Source organism: Homo sapiens, chromosome 21 (genome assembly GCF_000001405.40).
Source record: "Homo sapiens chromosome 21, GRCh38.p14 Primary Assembly".
NCBI classification, from domain to species: Eukaryota; Metazoa; Chordata; class Mammalia; order Primates; family Hominidae; genus Homo; species Homo sapiens.
The window spans coordinates 34,603,489-34,620,848 of NC_000021.9; the positions used below are offsets into that span (position 1 = coordinate 34,603,489).

Genomic DNA, 17,360 nt, shown 5'->3' on the forward strand with positions numbered 1-17,360 from the left:
AAAAAAGACCTGCTTTTGAGTTTTGCTAGTATCTATTGAGCACCCTTGAGGAAATTTCGTCACCCTTCTCAGCACGAATTTCTCACTGAAGAGATGAAAGGCACAGCCTTGGAAGAACCTTCTGGTCCCAGGACTTCGAGAACCCCAGAGTCGGATATCCAGTTACCCCGGGATTCCACAGTGCTTATTATTTTTATAAAGGGTGAAGAAGTCTCCTTCATCTATGAAATGGGGAAATAATAGTATATATCTTAGAAGGCTGTAAGAAGGATTCAAAGAGATGATGTACCTAAAATATCTGGCACAAGTGGTAAGTGCTAAGTAAATAGGAGACCTATAATTGATTGTAAGTATAATTGATTGTAAGTGCTAAGTGAATAGAGGACCTATAATTATAATTTATCACTCAAGCTTCAGAGTGGGAGAGGGTGCTACTAATGATTTCACTTGGATGACAGGCATAAGCCAGGATGGACAAAGTGGATGAGACATGTCACCTTATCAATCAATAATTGCCATCATGACATTTGGAAAAGTCTTCAATGTTGGCAGATGTTTTGAGAAACATTTTACTCAAGTGATCTGGCCTTGTGAGGCTATTTTTGGCAAATCTTCAAGCAGTAACTGGACAGAATCCGTCTTGGGGTCACTTCTTTTTTCTTTTTGAGACACAGCTCTGTTGCCCAGACTGAAGTACAGTGGCACAACCTTGGCTCATTGCAACCTCCGCCTCCCGGGTTCAAGCGATTCTCCTGCCTCAGCCTCCCGAGTAGCTAGGATTACAGGCGCCCACCACTACGCCCGGCTAATTTTTGTATTTTTTAATAGAGATGGGGTTTTGCCACGTTGGCCAGGCTGGTCTTCAACTCCTGACCTCAGGTGATCTGCCCGCCTCAGCCTCCCAAAGTGCTGAAATTACAGGGATAAGCCACAGCACCCGGCCATCTTGGGGTCATTTAAATCATCCCTGACACAGGGGTCATCTCAGATCAGTACTGTATATGTTTCCAAGACCAATTAAAGACACAAAGTTTAAGTGACTGAAATGTACCTCCTCTCTAGCCACATGCTGGACAAAACAGGGTACGGGTGTAAGCCAGAGAAGCTGTGTGGAAGAGAACTAGAATCACATTGAAGAAATGCTCTTTTTGAGCAGATTCCTACATGGAAAACTCTGATTTACCTTATGAGGGTGTGGGGAATGACAGGCAAGTGGGCTGTGAGTTCCGTGAAGGGAGAGGTGGTGTTTGTCATTCACCAAGATCTGTCTAGAGCTGTGCCCTCCTTACACTGGGGAAGTGGGCTGCCAGCCTGGGGCCCCACAGCTGGTTTTGCAACCAGCACAGTGCTCAGAACAGAGATGGCACCCAAAAGGTATTTGTTGAATAAATGAATGAATGAATGGATTGATGGAGCCAGGATTCAAATCTGGGTCTGCCTGGTGCCAGTGTCCAGGCACTGCCTTCCACCTGAGCAGCAGGGTGCCACCTGCCTGGCACGCCATCGGCATGCATAAACATCCATTACATATATGTGATAGTTAATATTAAGTGTCAACTTGATTGGATTGAAAGATGCAAAGTATTGTTCCTGAATGTGTCTGTGAGGGTGTTGCCAGAGGAGATTAACATTTGAGTCAGTGGACTGGGAAAGGCGGACCCACCCTCTATCTGCGTGGGCACCATCTAATCAGCTGTCAGAATAAAAGCAGGCAGAAGAATGTGAAAAGACTAAACTGGCTTAGCCTCTCAGCCTCCATCTTTCTCCTGCGCTGGATGCTTCCTGCTCTCAAACATTAGACTCCAGGTTCTTCAGCTTTGGGACTCAGACTGGCTTCCTTGCTCCTCAGCTTGTAGACAGCCTATTGTCGGACCTCACCTTGGGATTGTGTGCGTCAATACTCCTTAACAAACTCCCTTTTAACTCCTCTTTATATATATCGATCTATCCTATTAGTTCTGTCCATCTAGAGAACCCTAATATAATATAAATACATGACTGAAAGAATGAAGAGTCGTAACTCATGTGAATCTCTGTTTCCCGTAGGTAAAAACACTCTCTTCACAGAGCTATCCTAGGATTGAAATGAGATGTGAAAGATATATGAAAAATTCACTCGCATTAATGCCATGCTTTAAGATGATAAGCAGCAGCCAGGTGGAGTGGCTCACACCTGTAATCCCAGCACTTTGGGAGGCCGAGGCGGGTGGATCACAAGGTCAGGAGTTTGAGACCAACCTGGCCAACATGGTGAAACCCTGTCTCTACTAAAAATACAAAAATTAGCCGGGCGTGGTGGCAGGCACCTGTAATCCCAGCTATTCAGGAGGCCGAGGCAGGACAATCACTTGAACCCGGGAAGCAGAGGTTGCAGTGAGCTGAGATCGTGCCATTGTACTCCAGCCTGGGCAACAGAGCAAGACTCGGTCTCAGAAAAAAAAAAAAAAAAAAAGATGATGAGCAGCACAGGCTTTAGAGTTAGCTGAAACTGGGTTTGAGTCTAGGGATCAACAGTTCCTCACCTGTGTGACCTCAGACAGGTTTACTTGGCCTCAGATTCCTCCTCTATAGAATGGGGATGATAACAGTACCTATGCCACAGAGTTCTTGTAAAGATAAAATGATACGTCTTGTGGAGTCCTGATAAGTAAACAACAATGAGAAAGGGGCCCCAGATGGGAGAGAACAATGAACAGTGATTCTGAGAAATGGCCAATCACAAACAACCCCGGGCACAGTGACCTTTTTCAGCACATAGGCCCCTCCAGCGCAACCCTATAAAACTTCCTTCCAGCCTCTGCCGCTTGGCAGACGGCCCCTTCTCTGCTGTGCTGCCTGCTGCACCCTTGCAACATATTTTTATACTTTCTCTAATAAATCTGGCTTTCTTTACCTGCAACTGTCTTGGTAAATTCCTTTACTGCCTGTGACACTGACCCCGGCTAGGTGCACCCGTGACATGTATTACATAAATAGGGTACTTAATATACAAAATAAAGCACTTCATATTAATGAATAGAAACTATTTTATTATCTTTAAAATAAAGCACAAAGATTAACAAAAATTAAAGGTGATTATCATGGATTAAATGCTTGCATCCCCCAAGTCCAAATGCAGAAGCCCTAATCCCCAGTGTGGCTTTATTTGGAGATGAGGCCTCTAAGGAAGTAATTAGGCTAAAGGAGGTCAGAAGGGTGGGGCCCTAATATAATAGGATTAGTGCTCTTATAAGAAGAGACACCAGAGAGCTTGCTCCTCTCTCCACACACTGAGGAAAGACCACGTAGGGACACAGGGAGAAGGGGGCCATCTGCAGCCCAGAGGAGAGGCCTCACCAGAAAGAGACCATGCTGGGACCTCGACCTCAGACTTGCAGGCTCCAGAACTGTGGGAAATACATGTCTATTGCTCAAGCCTCCTAATCTGTGTTTTTTGTTATGGCAGCCTGAGAAGATTAATAATACAGTGATAAAATAAGACATGCTATTGTTATGTTGAGGAACTTTCTGAATTAAATAATATTTTTGTCTCTTAATCGTGAATTCAGGCCGACCTCAGATACCTCTCTCTTTGGCATTAATTATGATTGCACATGGGAATTTCATGCGGCACCTGCTGAAATTAGTAACAAAAGGAAAAGTACTGGACCTTTCCAAGTTATAAAAGGTTTAGCTTCCCGAGTTCTTTGTTCAGAAATATGGTGGGTAACTGCTCTTGATACTCAGAAACTTAGTAACCTAGCTATAGTCCTCTCAATGAAGTGTTCCATGTTAAACTATAGTGGCTAAAACTATTCTTTTATGGAGCTGAAGCTAAAAAGAAAAAAATCAGATTAGAAAAAAATCCTCTTTTTTTCCTCCAAATAAGTCTTTTTAATAATGTCAGGGATCCGTTTGGATTTGCTCCCTTTTTTTTTTTGAGACAGAGTCTTGCTCTGTATTCCAGGCTGTAGTGCAGTGGCGCAATCTCAGCTTACTGCAACCTCTGCCTCCAGGGTTCAAGCGATTCTCATGCCTCAGCCTCCTGAATAGCTGGGACTACAGGCGCGTGCCACCACACTGAGCTAATTTTTGTATTTTCTAGTAGAGATGGGGTTTCACCATGTTGGCCATGCTGGTCTGGAACTCCTGGCCTCCCAAAGTGTTGGAATTATAGGCATTAGTCACCACACCCAGCCTTAGAAAGAAATCTTAATATGCATTTCTAAACACTGATTGCTCCACAGAAGTCAAAAAAGTTTCCAAATTAAAAAATGTACTAATGAATATCTAACTGTGGTAGGCAGCCTATAGCAGGGATCGCCAACCTCCGGACCACAGACCAGTGCCAGTCCATGGCCTGTTAGGAAGCGGGCCACACAGCAGGAGGTGAGCAGCGGGTGAGCCAGCAAAGCTTCATCTGTATTTACAGCTGCTGCCCATTGCTCACATTACTGCCTGAGTTCCAGCGGCAGCAGAGTCCCATAGGAGCATGAACCCTATTGTGAACTGTGCATGTGAGGGATCTGGGTTGCCCACTCCTTATGAGAATCTAATGCCTGATGATCTGTCACTGTCTCCCATCAGCCCCAGATGGGACCATCTAATTGCAGGAAAACAAGCTTAGGGCTTCTACTAATTCTACATTATGGTGAGTTGTATAATTATTTTATTATATAATAATAGAACTAAAGTACACAGTAAATGTAATGCACTTGAATTATCCTGAAACTAGCTCCCTGCCCCCTGGTCTGTAGAAAAACTGTCTTCCATGAAACTGGTCCCTGGTACCAAAAATGTTGGGGACCACTGGCCTATAGGATGGCCCCCAGGGATCCCCACGTCCTGGTATTTACACCCTTTTGTAATTCCCTCTCCCTGAGTGAGATTTGCACTTACCGACTCGCTTCTCAGGAATAGAATACAGCGAAAGTGATGGGATATCACTGAGATTAGGCTACAAAAAGATGGTGGATCCCATTCCATCTGGCTTGCTCTGAGGGAAGCCTGCTGCCATGCTGCAAGCCACCCTATGGAGAGGGTGCAGCAGCCCCCACACAAGTGAGCCTGGCAGTAGATACCACTCCTTCAGTTCAGCCTTCAGATGAAACCACAGCTGATATTTTATTGCAGCCTTGGGAGAGACTCTGAGGCAGGGGCACCAGGCTAAGCCATCCCTGAATTTCTGACCCACAGACACTGTGACATAATTAACATTTATTATTTAAGCCACTAAGTGTTGGGTTTGTTACATGGCAGTAGATAACTAATACACAAACCTATATTGTATATACAGACCCAATCACTCTGACAGGCATTTTATGTGTATCATAAAATGTGAGTACTATCAACAGCTCCATTTACAGGCAGGGAAACCAAGGCATCGGTAGGATAAATAGCTTCCCAGAGTCACACTGCATAAGTGGGAAAGGTATGCTTAAGACCCATAGCCTTAACCAGTATGCTTCCCAGCCTCCTCATGTAGACTTCACTGGGGAATGTGAGCATATTAAACCCAGCTAAATCTTCAGAGGTGAAAATAAATAAAAAACCTACCCCAACTATATCAAATATGGTAAAGAATTTCTATGATGATTGAAATTTACACAACATGAAGCCAACCCTTTCCCCAACGTCAAAGTTTGAGTTAAGGTAATTAATATTCTCCTGAGGTTACACTTTGAAAATGTTTCTGTTTTTCCCAAGAAGAGACATTTTTACTTTCTACTGCCATGGTATAGCCTCCTAATGCTCAGAGATCATGGCAGAGTGATCGGCTGTGTCTCATCAGCATTCTTATGCTTTGATGGTGATTAGTATTTACAAAGGAAAAAATTGTCTCTCACAACTGAACTGTATGTGAAATGACTGGCACTTCCTCAGCATCCTTGAGATGAGTCCTAATGATTCTGCATAGACAATGTACACCCAGGGTCTACCCATCCCACACATGCTGATGTGTGCACAGTCACTATTACTGTACCAGGAGTGATGCGTTCTCAGACCTGCGCAAACAGGCCCTGCGGTGATATGTATGAAAATGAGTGGATCACATTTTTTTAAAAGGAGAGAAACAAAGAGACAAAGAATATAGCCTGAAATATAAACATTGGAACCAACAGCTCCTGCCTTAGCTATTCTGCTCTAGCACAAAGCCTATTTTTTGTTCCTTTATGTAATTGTCCTGAGGCTGGAAAAGCCTGAAGTTGCAGGCAGTAACATTTAAAGCTACTGCTATGGAAGAAAAAATGCTTTAAGTAATGAAGGTGACAGCAGATTGAGCTGAGAGGGGAACCAAGCAGTTGTTAGGGGGTGGAGTGGTGAGGAGGATTTAAAGCAGCTCTGGATGTGAAAAACATCTGATTTTAGAGTCAGAAACCCTAAAATTAGAGAAATAGTGGAAAACTGAAAATAAACTTCGCACATATGTAACATGTAGCTTTCAAAAATGTACAACATTCTGAACCTTCCCAAATAAATTAAACTCTATACCATATTGGAGATAAGATCATTTAAGGGGAAATTTTATTCAGAATTTAAATCTGAGAAACCGCATGCCTCACCCTCACACTAGGGTGAAAAGTGAAAATGGCCTAAAACTGCCTGGATTTTCCAGTGCAATAGAACCCAACTGTTACTCTCCTGCTAGGATGTCACATTTTACAATATGCTACAACAGACTGGCTTGGAAGAGGAACAGGCAGAAACGCAGCCAAGTATATACAACCTCAGGAGTGGAAACTATGTACATCAGCAGGGCCACCTTAGGTCCTCAAAACACTTCAATCATCAAATTGCTTTCGAATGATGTCCTGCGACCAGAAAACAAGTTTTGGGAGGCCAAGTGCATGATCTGCCGTTTGGGTGGAGAGTGAGCAGCACCCATTAAGGCGAACGGAGGTAACCTAAGGTTAAACCAAATGCCCCATCTCCTGGTCTGTGGGCACCAGTGACCCCGCCTGTAGGCCACAGGGTCAAACAACAATCAGGAGAAGGAAGCCTGCAGACCAAGGGCCTGGCTCCCGGTTCAGGAAATCAAGGCACAGAAAGGGTAAGTCATCTAGCTAGAAGTGGAGCTTCATCAAATTTTCAGTGATCTTTTTAAGATATAACGATGCCTCTGGTCAGGCCAAACCCCGGCTTCAGACAATGGTTCCCAACCTCAGCTAACAATTAGAATCACCTGGGGAGCTTTCCAGGCGATTCCCAGCCCCAGAGATTGGAATGGGTTTGGAGTGGCCTGGAAATGGGAATTTTTCAAAGCTCCCTAGAGACTCTGACGTGCAGCTAAGGTTGGGAGCACTGCTCAAAGGTCTCTACTCACATAAAGAATGGAAGGATGTCACTTCTACTTCTTTCATGCTGATCCGAATATTTTGTTATTAAAAGAAAGTCATGATAGCACTACATCTATCACAAATCTTAGGTGAGTTGTTTTTGTTTTTTTTAGGTAAGTTTACTCAAGCGAAAAGAGTAAATTTTTCTATAATTTTCTGACTTAGCCTTCCAGCAAAGCTCTATGAATCAAATATACATTCATATTTCAGACAACTGAAAAAAGGGTATTTGTTTCCATTACTATACGGAACTATATTCACTGCTTGGAAATGAACGGAATATTATCTGAGAACTCTTAAATTCCTGGTCAGCTTGATGATGACTGAATAAACTCTTATTCCAGGGAACCAACTAACCATTTTCAGCAATTCAAAGCACATGTAATTACTGGTTCAAAGCATTTTGAATTGTTTTGCTTTTCTAAATAGAAAAGAAAAAAAGACTCACAAAAAGAGTACTATAATGGAATATGTTCATCAAATATTTGTACAAACAGAAAATAATCATATTTTAATAAAAGTTTTCATTCATCTGTAACAGTGTGAATCTAATACATTTAATTAACAAACTCATTATACAGTATTTACAATATTGATCCTGAGCCAGCCAATGAAAACAAATCTTACATATCTGGCCAAGCAATTATAGTTACAAAACAGCTTCTGATGTAAATTTTCAAAAGAATTCTAGTTCAGGTTAATTTTTTTTCTTTCCTTGAAGACTAAGCTTACAGAATCATGTGACTATATATAAAGAAGTTTGATCCAGTCTTTTTTCCTCACACCATCACTCTCCAGATCCAACAGACTGGCTAAGGAGGGGACGGCCAGACCCCCAGGGACTTTTGTCAGCATTGCAGTTAATGATCTGTTTACACAAGGGGAGATACCACCAACCTAAAGTAGATTTACATTTACATTACATCATCCAAAGGTGACACCCCAGTCTTAACAGTAAGACTGCCACATTGAAACCGCAGAAACTACATATTCCCACCTAGAAGGATGGTTTCAGCTAAATGAGAAATGGTCCACTTGCTGCAAGGCTTACCAAGGACCCGCTGTGACTTTAGCTCTCAGGTTGCCCACTGCATAGAGCTATTTGCCCTCAGAGACTGGGACTCCCTTAGCCCACCTGGTTTTTGGGTTTTCACTGATTGCTGTATATCTCACAGGACCCTAGAATTGGACATCAGTGCACAACCCTCCCTCATCCCCATTCTGAAGCTCCAGATTCTCCAAATGGAGAGAAGAGGCTCAGATGGAGGCTCTGCCCCTTTCTCCATCTCCAATACCACCATCCTAGTCCCACTCCCTTCCTATCTCCCCTGGATGATGGCAACAGCCTCCTACCAGGTCTCCTTGCTTCCTCTCTAGCCTACCCAGTTTCCCTCCTGAAAGCCATTCTCCACCAAGATGTGCAATTAGAATCACACCTGAATCCTTACCATGGCCCCAGGGGGATGTTTTCTGGTTGCTTATCCAACCTCAGCTACCAATCGCCTCTCTGTCTCTCATGCAACCCTTCAAGTCCTTTAAAAATGGAGTTCACCCTGCACTGGAGCTTCTGCACCTGCTAGTCCCTCTGCCGGGATGCCGGCCACACAAACACCTCCCCAGGGAGCTTCTTCCTGTCAACCTGGTCCAGGCTGTGCAGAGGCCTCCCTGGGCCACTCCATCTAAAGTGGCTCCCTACTAACTCCTCTGTGTAAGTCCCCTTTATCCACACTGTCCCCAGAGCCATTATCTACCCTTCTGTGGGCCCTGAAAGGATGACCCAACCTATGGACTCCACTGCAGGGGCTCCCTTGCCTCCTAGCTGTCCTTTGAGTTCTGCCAATGAAATCAGAAGCCTGAGAATTTCTTCCCTGCCTGTACCCTGCCTTAGCATCTCAACTCCACACCTTCAAGTCTACAGCTCCTGGCAGGCAGCTCCTCCCCTAGGTTTCCAGCCACGTGACTTCCTCCCCCAGCTCCAGCTTCCAGCTGTTGCTCATGGCTGCAGGCCTGGACATCCCTTGTTAGTTCCCTCAGGACTGCCCCAATTCACCAGCTCTTCAACAAAACCCCCACAGTGTTAGGACCTGACCACTCTGACCAAGCCCCCTCCCCTTGCTCTCTATCCCTGTTTCAGTCTCTTCATCGCATTTATCACTATCCGAAATGATCTTGTTCACTTGCCTTTTTCCTATTGTCTATCTCCCCCTCAACCACTGGATCCTAAGCTCCATGAAAGCAAGGAGCTTGAAATGTTCCCTGCTTTATCCTCTGGGCCTAAACCAGTGGCTGGAACACAGTAAGCACTCAATAGACAGCAAAGCCTGAATGAACCAATGCTACATTGTCTCTGCTCAAAATATCACCATATCAGTAAGACCTTCCCTGATCATCTTATGGAAAATAGCAATCTCCCCTCCACTCCCAGATCTCCACTCCCTCCTCCTGCCCTCCAAGTCTTATTTTTTCCTATAGCATCATTACTTTCTGATACATTTGATATTTCTTTATTGCTTGTTTCCCTTCCAAAAAATGTCAACCCTGGAGGCAGAAATGCTATTTTATTTACTGATGCAGCCTCAGAGCCTAGGACAGTACCTATCCCGTAGCGAAGTCTCAATAAATATTTGTTAAAATGAATAGCTAGCGAAGTGGGCAAACTTTCATACAACACAATTTCAGGATTGTATCCAACACTGGAAAAAATTGTCTCCAACACTACAAGTAAGTGCCGTCTTACGTGACTTGACCTTGTTCTAGCAGAAAGACAGCCTAGAACTCCTAAGGAAAAGGTCTGAAATGCTGGCTAGCGCTTAGTTTATATGGAGAGGAAAAGGTTTTAGAGTAAGATCAATCAGTAAGACCCTGAGTTCCTGACAATTGCTGCTCTAGAAAGCATGCCTGGAAGCTTACCTAAGCACACGGCCATTGTAATTCCTTTCAGAAAGTAAGTGAACATATAAATTATAAATAAATGACACTTACATACACCATTCTGTTTCACAGTGGTGTTGTATTGGCAGCAGCCTTCAACTATAGTTCATTGACAGCATTTGTGGACCCACAGCCAAGCGCTGAAAGCACTGCTTTTTTTGACAGCTGCTCTCCTAATGGGGCATCTCTCAAAGACCGGTTTCATTCTGTGACGCCCACGTTGTCCACATTTTATTCTGCACAATAACTGCAGATTTGAAATAAATTCTTCCTCCCCACCACCATTATTGATTACTCATACCTGCCCCTCACCCTCCAAAGTGTCTAAATTGTGTGGATTTTGCGGGGGTGGGGGGAGGCGGGGGAAGGAGTCGACTCCCCATGTACTGGGTGTCCCCGATGGCGGCAAGCCACACCTTCACACAAGGGGGCAAGGTTCTTGACTAAATATCCTAAAGGTCTGAAAGATGGTCCCCTTCCCCCCAACACAATTCCACCAAAACTGGCCAGCCGCTGGCTAATGAGCAACCACGGATCCTCACCCAAACATTGGCTTTTCTTCCAATAGTGCAGATTGGGAATGCAGGGACGTCGTCCTATTTATGAACACTGAGTCACGTCGCCGCTCAATGTCTGTTTCCTCCTCCCTAGGAATGAGGTGACCCCCTCCTCCAGCGAGTAAATGCGGGGCGATGGCGAGAGCGCAGGGGGCGGCGGCGCTGCCCCACCTTGGGGAGCGAATTCACCCCCCTAGTCGCACCAGCCTGGGCGCACACGGGGGCCGGGGCGAGCCTGTGGGACTCTGCAGTGAGCTCCGCGCGCCCCGGGGGTGCTAGGGGACCGGGACCCTCGGGGCGCCGTCCCCACGCCCCAGCCCTGACGGGTCCGCGGCCGAGCAGCCCGGGGGACGTCGCTGCCTCCCCGCCCCGCGCGCGGCCGGGACTGGGCGCTGCGACCCGCGCCGCCTCCTCGGGCAACAAGTGTCCGCCCTCCGCCCCGACGGCCCGCCCGGCGCGGTCCTCACCCGGCACAGGCCGTCCACGAACACGCGCGGGTCCAGGTGACAGGCGATGGTGGCGCTGGGCAGGTCCTGCAGGTCCACCTCCTCCATCTCGCAGTCAATGAAGCTCCAGTCGCCGCCGCCCTCGTCCGCCTCGGCCGCCCCCGAGAGGGGCGCGAAGGGCCGCAGCGTCACCCCGGGCCGCGCTCGCGCCTCGGCCGCCTCCGCCGCCTCCGCCGCGGCCCCGAGCTGGGGACCGGCCACGCCGTCCTCCATCCCCGCGCCCGCGCGACCCTGTGCGCCCCAGCGGGCTGCTCCGGGCTTGCGCGCCGGAGCCTCACGCGCTCCGGTCCGCGCCCGGCCGGCGGCTCCGCCGTTAACCCCCTCGGAATCGCGCGGCGGCAGGCGGCGGGCTGTCAGCAGTCTCCCAGCGACACGGCCTCCCAGCGCCAGCCCCGCCCGTCACCGTTCCGCGCGGGAGGGGCAGAAGCCCGGCGCGGCGACCGCCCCCCCAGCCCCTAGGGCCGGCCACCGGCAGATCCAACGGTGGCCCCTTTAAGGCCGGCGCCGGTTGGGTTATTGTACCCCGCCCTTCCAGGAGACGGGGCCAATAAAGGAACGGAATTCTCTTCACGTGACCTTCCTTCTGCCGCCCGAAGCCCGAAGCCTCAGGGCGGCCATGTTGGTTAGGGGCAAAGTCCTCGTCCCCAGTTCCGCTTTTCTGACAGCTGGTGCCAGCTGAAGGACGCCGGGCAGAGTCCTCGGCTCTTGGGCCCTTGGGGTGATAACTGGGGAGGCAACGTTTTTGTGGTTCCCATGCGGGGACGTTTTGAAGCACAGGGGCCCACTTTTGGGAATTTAAGCGAGACATAGTCTCCCTGTGGCTCTGTGGCCCCTGGCAAGTGGTTAGATGCTTACCGTATATTATCAGATATAGTCGCAATAAAGACTGAACTAGACCATGATAACAATGCCTTACTTTTCTATTTCAGCGTATTAGTCACTATACCATTGTGAAAATTTATGTAATTAGAAGTAATTTTTCTGAATTACCATTATATGCTATGTACAATAGGACATAACGAAAGAATTAAGAGATCACCCCTTTCCTTTGGGGAATAGCGGAAAAATAAGAGGACCTCAAGTGAGCAGACATGTCTCTTCCTGAAAAATAGAATTCTTTTTTGGACAGTATGATACAGTGAGAACTTGGGTCTGAATTTCAGCTTTGCTTTTTAACTACTTGTACAAATAAGCTGAATCTTAGTTTCCTCATCTGAAAAAAATGAAGACATATTACTAAGAATTCAGTCAGTGCTTAATAAATGGTAGCTGTTTATGCACTGGGTTCTTTGGAGGTTGTGAAATTACAGTTATATTTTTTCTTAGAGTAGGCTTACTCTCTAGTTAGGAAGTGTTAGTAATTATAACAAAAAGTATATCCAACAGCTGAGATTTATTCAGAACTTGCCATGTGCACGGTTCTATGATTACTATTATCATAGTCTTAGGACAGTTTGTGTCCTCAGGGAGCTAAACCCAAGAGGAATAATAATACCCATCTAGAGATAACTCATAAAATAGAATATGATATGAGGATGTGAAGAAATTGGAACCGTCATACTGTGAAAGGGAAATCTTGGGCCCCCAAAATCACTAAGGAAAACTAAAGCTGGAAGTTGCTTAGAGCCAACCAGCCTCCCATTCCATTCAAAGTCACCCCTCTGCTCACTGAGACAGATGCATTTCACCGAGACAGATTTGCCTCCTTTATAAAGACTAATCAGAAACCCAAAGAGTGTAACCGTTTGTCTATCACCTATCTGTGACCTGGAAGCTCCCTCCTGCCTCCTGCCTTTGCAGTAGTCTTCCTGCCTTTGCTTCAAGTTGTCCTGCCTCTCCAGACCAAACCAATGTACTGCTTACATACATTCATTGATGTCTCATGTCTCCCTAACATGTATAAAACCAAGCTGTGCCTTGATCACCTTGGGTACATGTCCTCAGGACTTCCTGAGGCCTGTCATGGGCATGCCCTCAACCTTGGCAAAATAAACTTTCTAAATTAATTGAGACCTGTCTCAAATTTTCAGGGTTCACAATATATTGCTGATGGGCATGTAAAATGGCGCAGCCACTTTGGAAAACAATTTGGCAAGTCCTCAAAAAGTTCTATGTAGAGTGACCATATGACCCAGCAATTCCTCTCCTAGGTATATACTTAAAAGAAATGAAAACGGCCGGGAGCCATGGCTCACGCCTGTAATCCCAACAATTTGGAAGGCCAAGGCGGGCAGATCACCTGAGGTTGGGAGTTCCAGACCAGCCTGACCAACATGGAGAAACCCCGTCTCTACTAAAAATACAAAATTAGCTGGGCGTGGTGGCACATGCTTGTAATCCCCGCTACTCGGGAGGCTGAGGCAAGAGAATCTTTTGAACCCCGGAGGCAGAGGTTGCAGTGAGCTGAGATCACGCCACTGCACTCCAGCTTGGACAACAAAAGCAAAAACTCAGTCTAAAAAAAAAAAAAAGAAAGAAAGAAGTGAAAACATATGCCCACACAATAATCTGTACACAAAAGCTCATAGCATCATTATTCAAAATAGCCAAAGAGTGGAAACAGCCCAAATGTTCACCAGTTGAAGAATGGACAAACCAGGAGTATATCCATACAATGGAATATTTTCCAGCCCTAAAAAGGAATGAAATGCTGATAACATGCCACAACATGGAGGAATCTTGAAAACATTATGCTAAGTGGAAGAAGGCAGTCACAAAAGGCCACATGTTATTCCATTTATATGAAATGTTCAGAATAGGCAAATCCACAGAGAGAGAAGGTAGTTTAGTGGGTGCCAGTGTTTCTGAAAGGGGAAAATGGGGAATGACTTGTATAAGGGTAGAAGGGTTCTTTTGGGAGTGAGGAAAATGTTCCAAAATCAATTGTGGTGATGTTTGCACAACTTTTTGAATATACTAAAAATCACTGAATTGTACCTTAAAGGGTGAATTTCATGACATGCAAATTATATTTCAGTAAGGCTAGTATTTTAAAAGACCACAAGACATTGGATGAAGTGCAGCAGAATGGATGACACTGCAGAGCCGAAAAGTCTCGGTAAACTCGGCCAGGCATTGTGAAAAGGGTAACAAAAGGATGAGGCACTGGTTTTGGAAAAACAACACCCGGTCAACCTGTCGCTGGGTGGGTCCATGTTTTCATCCTTAGGACAGTATGCTCTTTCATTGCTGGCTTGCCATAAGCCACTTACAGCATGCAGAGTGGGCCTGTTGGACAAAGTGTTCAACAGGAAGGAAAGCACCAACAAAACAGAAAGCCAAAATGCAAGCAGAGCAAACCCTTGCAGCTGGCTCTCTGATGTGTTAAGACAGGAGCGAGCAGGAACAACCTCAGGCGAGTGGTGAGGACAGTTACTTGTAACTGACTTCAGAATGCAGCTGGTCATTACTCAGATACAGACCACACCAAACATTTCCCTCCACATCTGTGGATCCCCACCTCTCTCCTCTCCTTCCCCATCTGCACTTCCCCAGGAAGCTAAGTGAAGAGGGTGACTTTTCTTAGTTCTCCGACCAGATCAATTACTTGTCTGTATAACTCCGACAATAATAATACTGGTCTCTTCTGTGTAGCTCTTAAATCGTTAATGGGTGTACACATAAACTAGCCCACATCATCTTAACAAACTGGTGTTATTACTGCAGATTCTTAGAACTGAGGCTCAAAGAGATAAATGAACTTCGCACAAGAAAATAAGCAGAGAGCCCGGTGCGGTGGCTCATGCCTGTAATCCCAGCACTTTGGGAGGCCGAGGCAGGTGGATCACCTGAGGTCAGGAGTTTGAGACCAGCCTGGCCAACATGGCGAAACCCCATCTCTAGTTAAAATACAAAACGTAGCTGGGCATGGTGGTGCATGCCTGTAATCGCAGCTACTCAGGAGGCTGAGACAGGGGAATCGCTTGAACCTGGGAGGTGGAGGTTGCAGTGAGCCGATACCGAGCCAGTGCACTCCAGCCTGGGCGACAGAGTGAGACACAGTCTCAAAAATAAATAAATAAAATAAAAATAAACTATAGCCTCTCCCAAGGAAGAGAAAAAAGCGAATCTATGAGCTGTCATTTCTGCACAGGCAGAAATGAAATAAAACATGCTCTTTCCACACAATTGCAGACATCTCCAAGGGTGAAATCAACTATACCTAGGGGTAATCTCTTAAGATGCTGTGCTGCCATAAATTGTGTACAAATTCCTCACTAGTTCTTTGGAAATTGTTAGCTGGGCCTCTTTTACCAGCTGTGGCAACAGCACGTAAGATCCATCTCTGCTTCCCCCTTTGGCTTCTAAGTAGAGAGCCTTCCTTTTTCATTGGCTCAAAGGAGCTGATTTGATCCAGCTTTTCAGAAGGGGAAGGAACCAAAATAGGTAAAAAAAAAAAAACTCAGTGATTCTTTTTTTTTTTTCAAATGGAGGAAGGACACACATTTTAATTAATATATCCTACCACCTCCCAATCATTTCCTCTCCTTACATTTCCTTCATGTCAGCCATTGCAATTACCCAATATAAAAGGAGAAGAGGCGCTCAGAAAGCCATGTTTGGTTATTTTTGTTCTTAGCACCTGTCTCTTACATCAATTGCAGCCCAGTTATGCAGACGTGCCTATGCGTGGATAAATGAGCCTATTCATTTGCCAGGTGGGAAAGTTTTACTCTAGATACTTTTAGTTGCATCCTGTTTTATTCTGGAAATTAAAGGACGCTGTGTTCAGTAGTCACTTGCCAAGTGTTTATTAAATGAACCAAAGGCATTTCGGCACATTCTGAGAAATTATAGACATTTAAAAAATTCATTTAAGGTGGAAGGCAAATTGCTGACTTTCTGAGTGTTTGCTTTCACAATGAATGAACAGTTCCAAAGACTGCTTCAATGAATAAACCCCTTAAATAATTCATTTGGAAGGCTCTATTTTGTTACCACCTATGAAATGAATAAAAATGTTATGCTATTTTATTATTATTGTTTTGTTTTATTTTAGCAATAGGAACTTTTTTTCCCTACTCGAAGTTCATTCTTAAAACCCATTCTTAAAATTTTCTGTTATTTTTGATGGTATTATGAAACTTTTTAATTTAGAAAGATAGTTATAAATTTGATTTGAGGGAAAATAGTAGATTTTGGTGACTTTGTCTAAGTGTGGAAAGGAACTTCACTGACTTTGACCTTTCTCTAAGTTCTCTTTGAAGCGTGCTGGCACTCATGTGACTTTTATGTTGAGTTAGGAGTCTTCTGGTTGCCAGTAACCACAACCTCTGAAGCCAGTTTAAACAGGAGATCATTTAAATTAAGGATGTAAGGCAACTCTGGAAGCCTAAGGTGAGAATATCGCCTCGGGAAGGGTCTAGAAGATGGACCCTGATGCTGCCTAGAAGCGGGCTGTCTTCTTGGGCCCTGTTGAGGCCATCAGAGGTGGGGGATGGACACATAAGCAAATGGGCCTCCACTTCTGAAAGTCAGCAGCCCCAGCATCTCCAGGGAGCGCTCATTGTTCAAAAGGTCTTCCTTTGTTTCAAGCTAAAAGCACTGCTCCTGCAGGAGTATTGCACACTCTCCAGAAGCCAGATAGACCTGGCCTTCATTCAGCTCTGTCCTTTATTATCTCTCTGGCCTCAGGGAAGCCACTTGACCTCTCTGAGGTCCTGTGTGTAAAAAGGTGATATAAATAGCTTCCTTTCAGAGGTGCCGCAGAGGTCAGACACATGCCCAGCTAATGCCTGCCATGGAGGAGTGGCTCAGAATGACAGGACCTCAAATTCTCTTCGTCCCAGGTTTTCATTTTAAGATCGCCTTCTCTTCTGTGTCACAGCCTCTTAACACAAAATAATAAGTAAATAGATCTTCCCCTCTGGCCAGCTTCTCAGGAGTGAATACCAGGGCAGAATCTGGATCCAGGACCAGTTAACTGTTTTGCTTGTTATGAGTTCTTTGGATTTCAAGACAGATGGTACATTAACAACTCATCCCACCCCATCCCTGCCCTATGGACAGGTTTCCCTGGCTTCCCTTGGAAGCCACCTGTGTTTGCTGGG

The 17,360-nt window shown here is 45.6% G+C and overlaps 1 protein-coding gene across 3 annotated transcripts in view, besides 2 other annotated features; it reads right to left on the minus strand.

Annotated features, from left to right (window-relative positions):
- The window catches only part of RCAN1 (regulator of calcineurin 1), a 98,672-nt gene extending 87,047 nt beyond the window's left edge, over positions 1–11,625 (minus strand). Inside the window, exon 1 of one of the 3 annotated variants that reach the window (NM_004414.7) lies at positions 11,272–11,625. In NM_004414.7, coding sequence (NP_004405.3) covers positions 11,272–11,523 — 252 coding nt within the window. In that variant the 5' untranslated portion in view covers positions 11,524–11,625. Of the gene's footprint in view, positions 1–10,298; positions 10,356–10,789; positions 10,959–11,271 lie in introns of those variants that run through there. The other 2 variants (NM_203417.2, NM_001285389.2) reach the window with 2 other exon arrangements.
- Positions 11,140–11,239: a silencer, noted in NCBI's record as "silent region_13269". NCBI's record gives its function as "represses an Ori minimal core promoter by ATAC-STARR-seq in GM12878 lymphoblastoid cells {active_cell/tissue: GM12878}" and the evidence as "EXISTENCE:reporter gene assay evidence [ECO:0000049][PMID:35858748]".
- Positions 11,430–11,859: a silencer, noted in NCBI's record as "silent region_13270". NCBI's record gives its function as "represses an Ori minimal core promoter by ATAC-STARR-seq in GM12878 lymphoblastoid cells {active_cell/tissue: GM12878}" and the evidence as "EXISTENCE:reporter gene assay evidence [ECO:0000049][PMID:35858748]".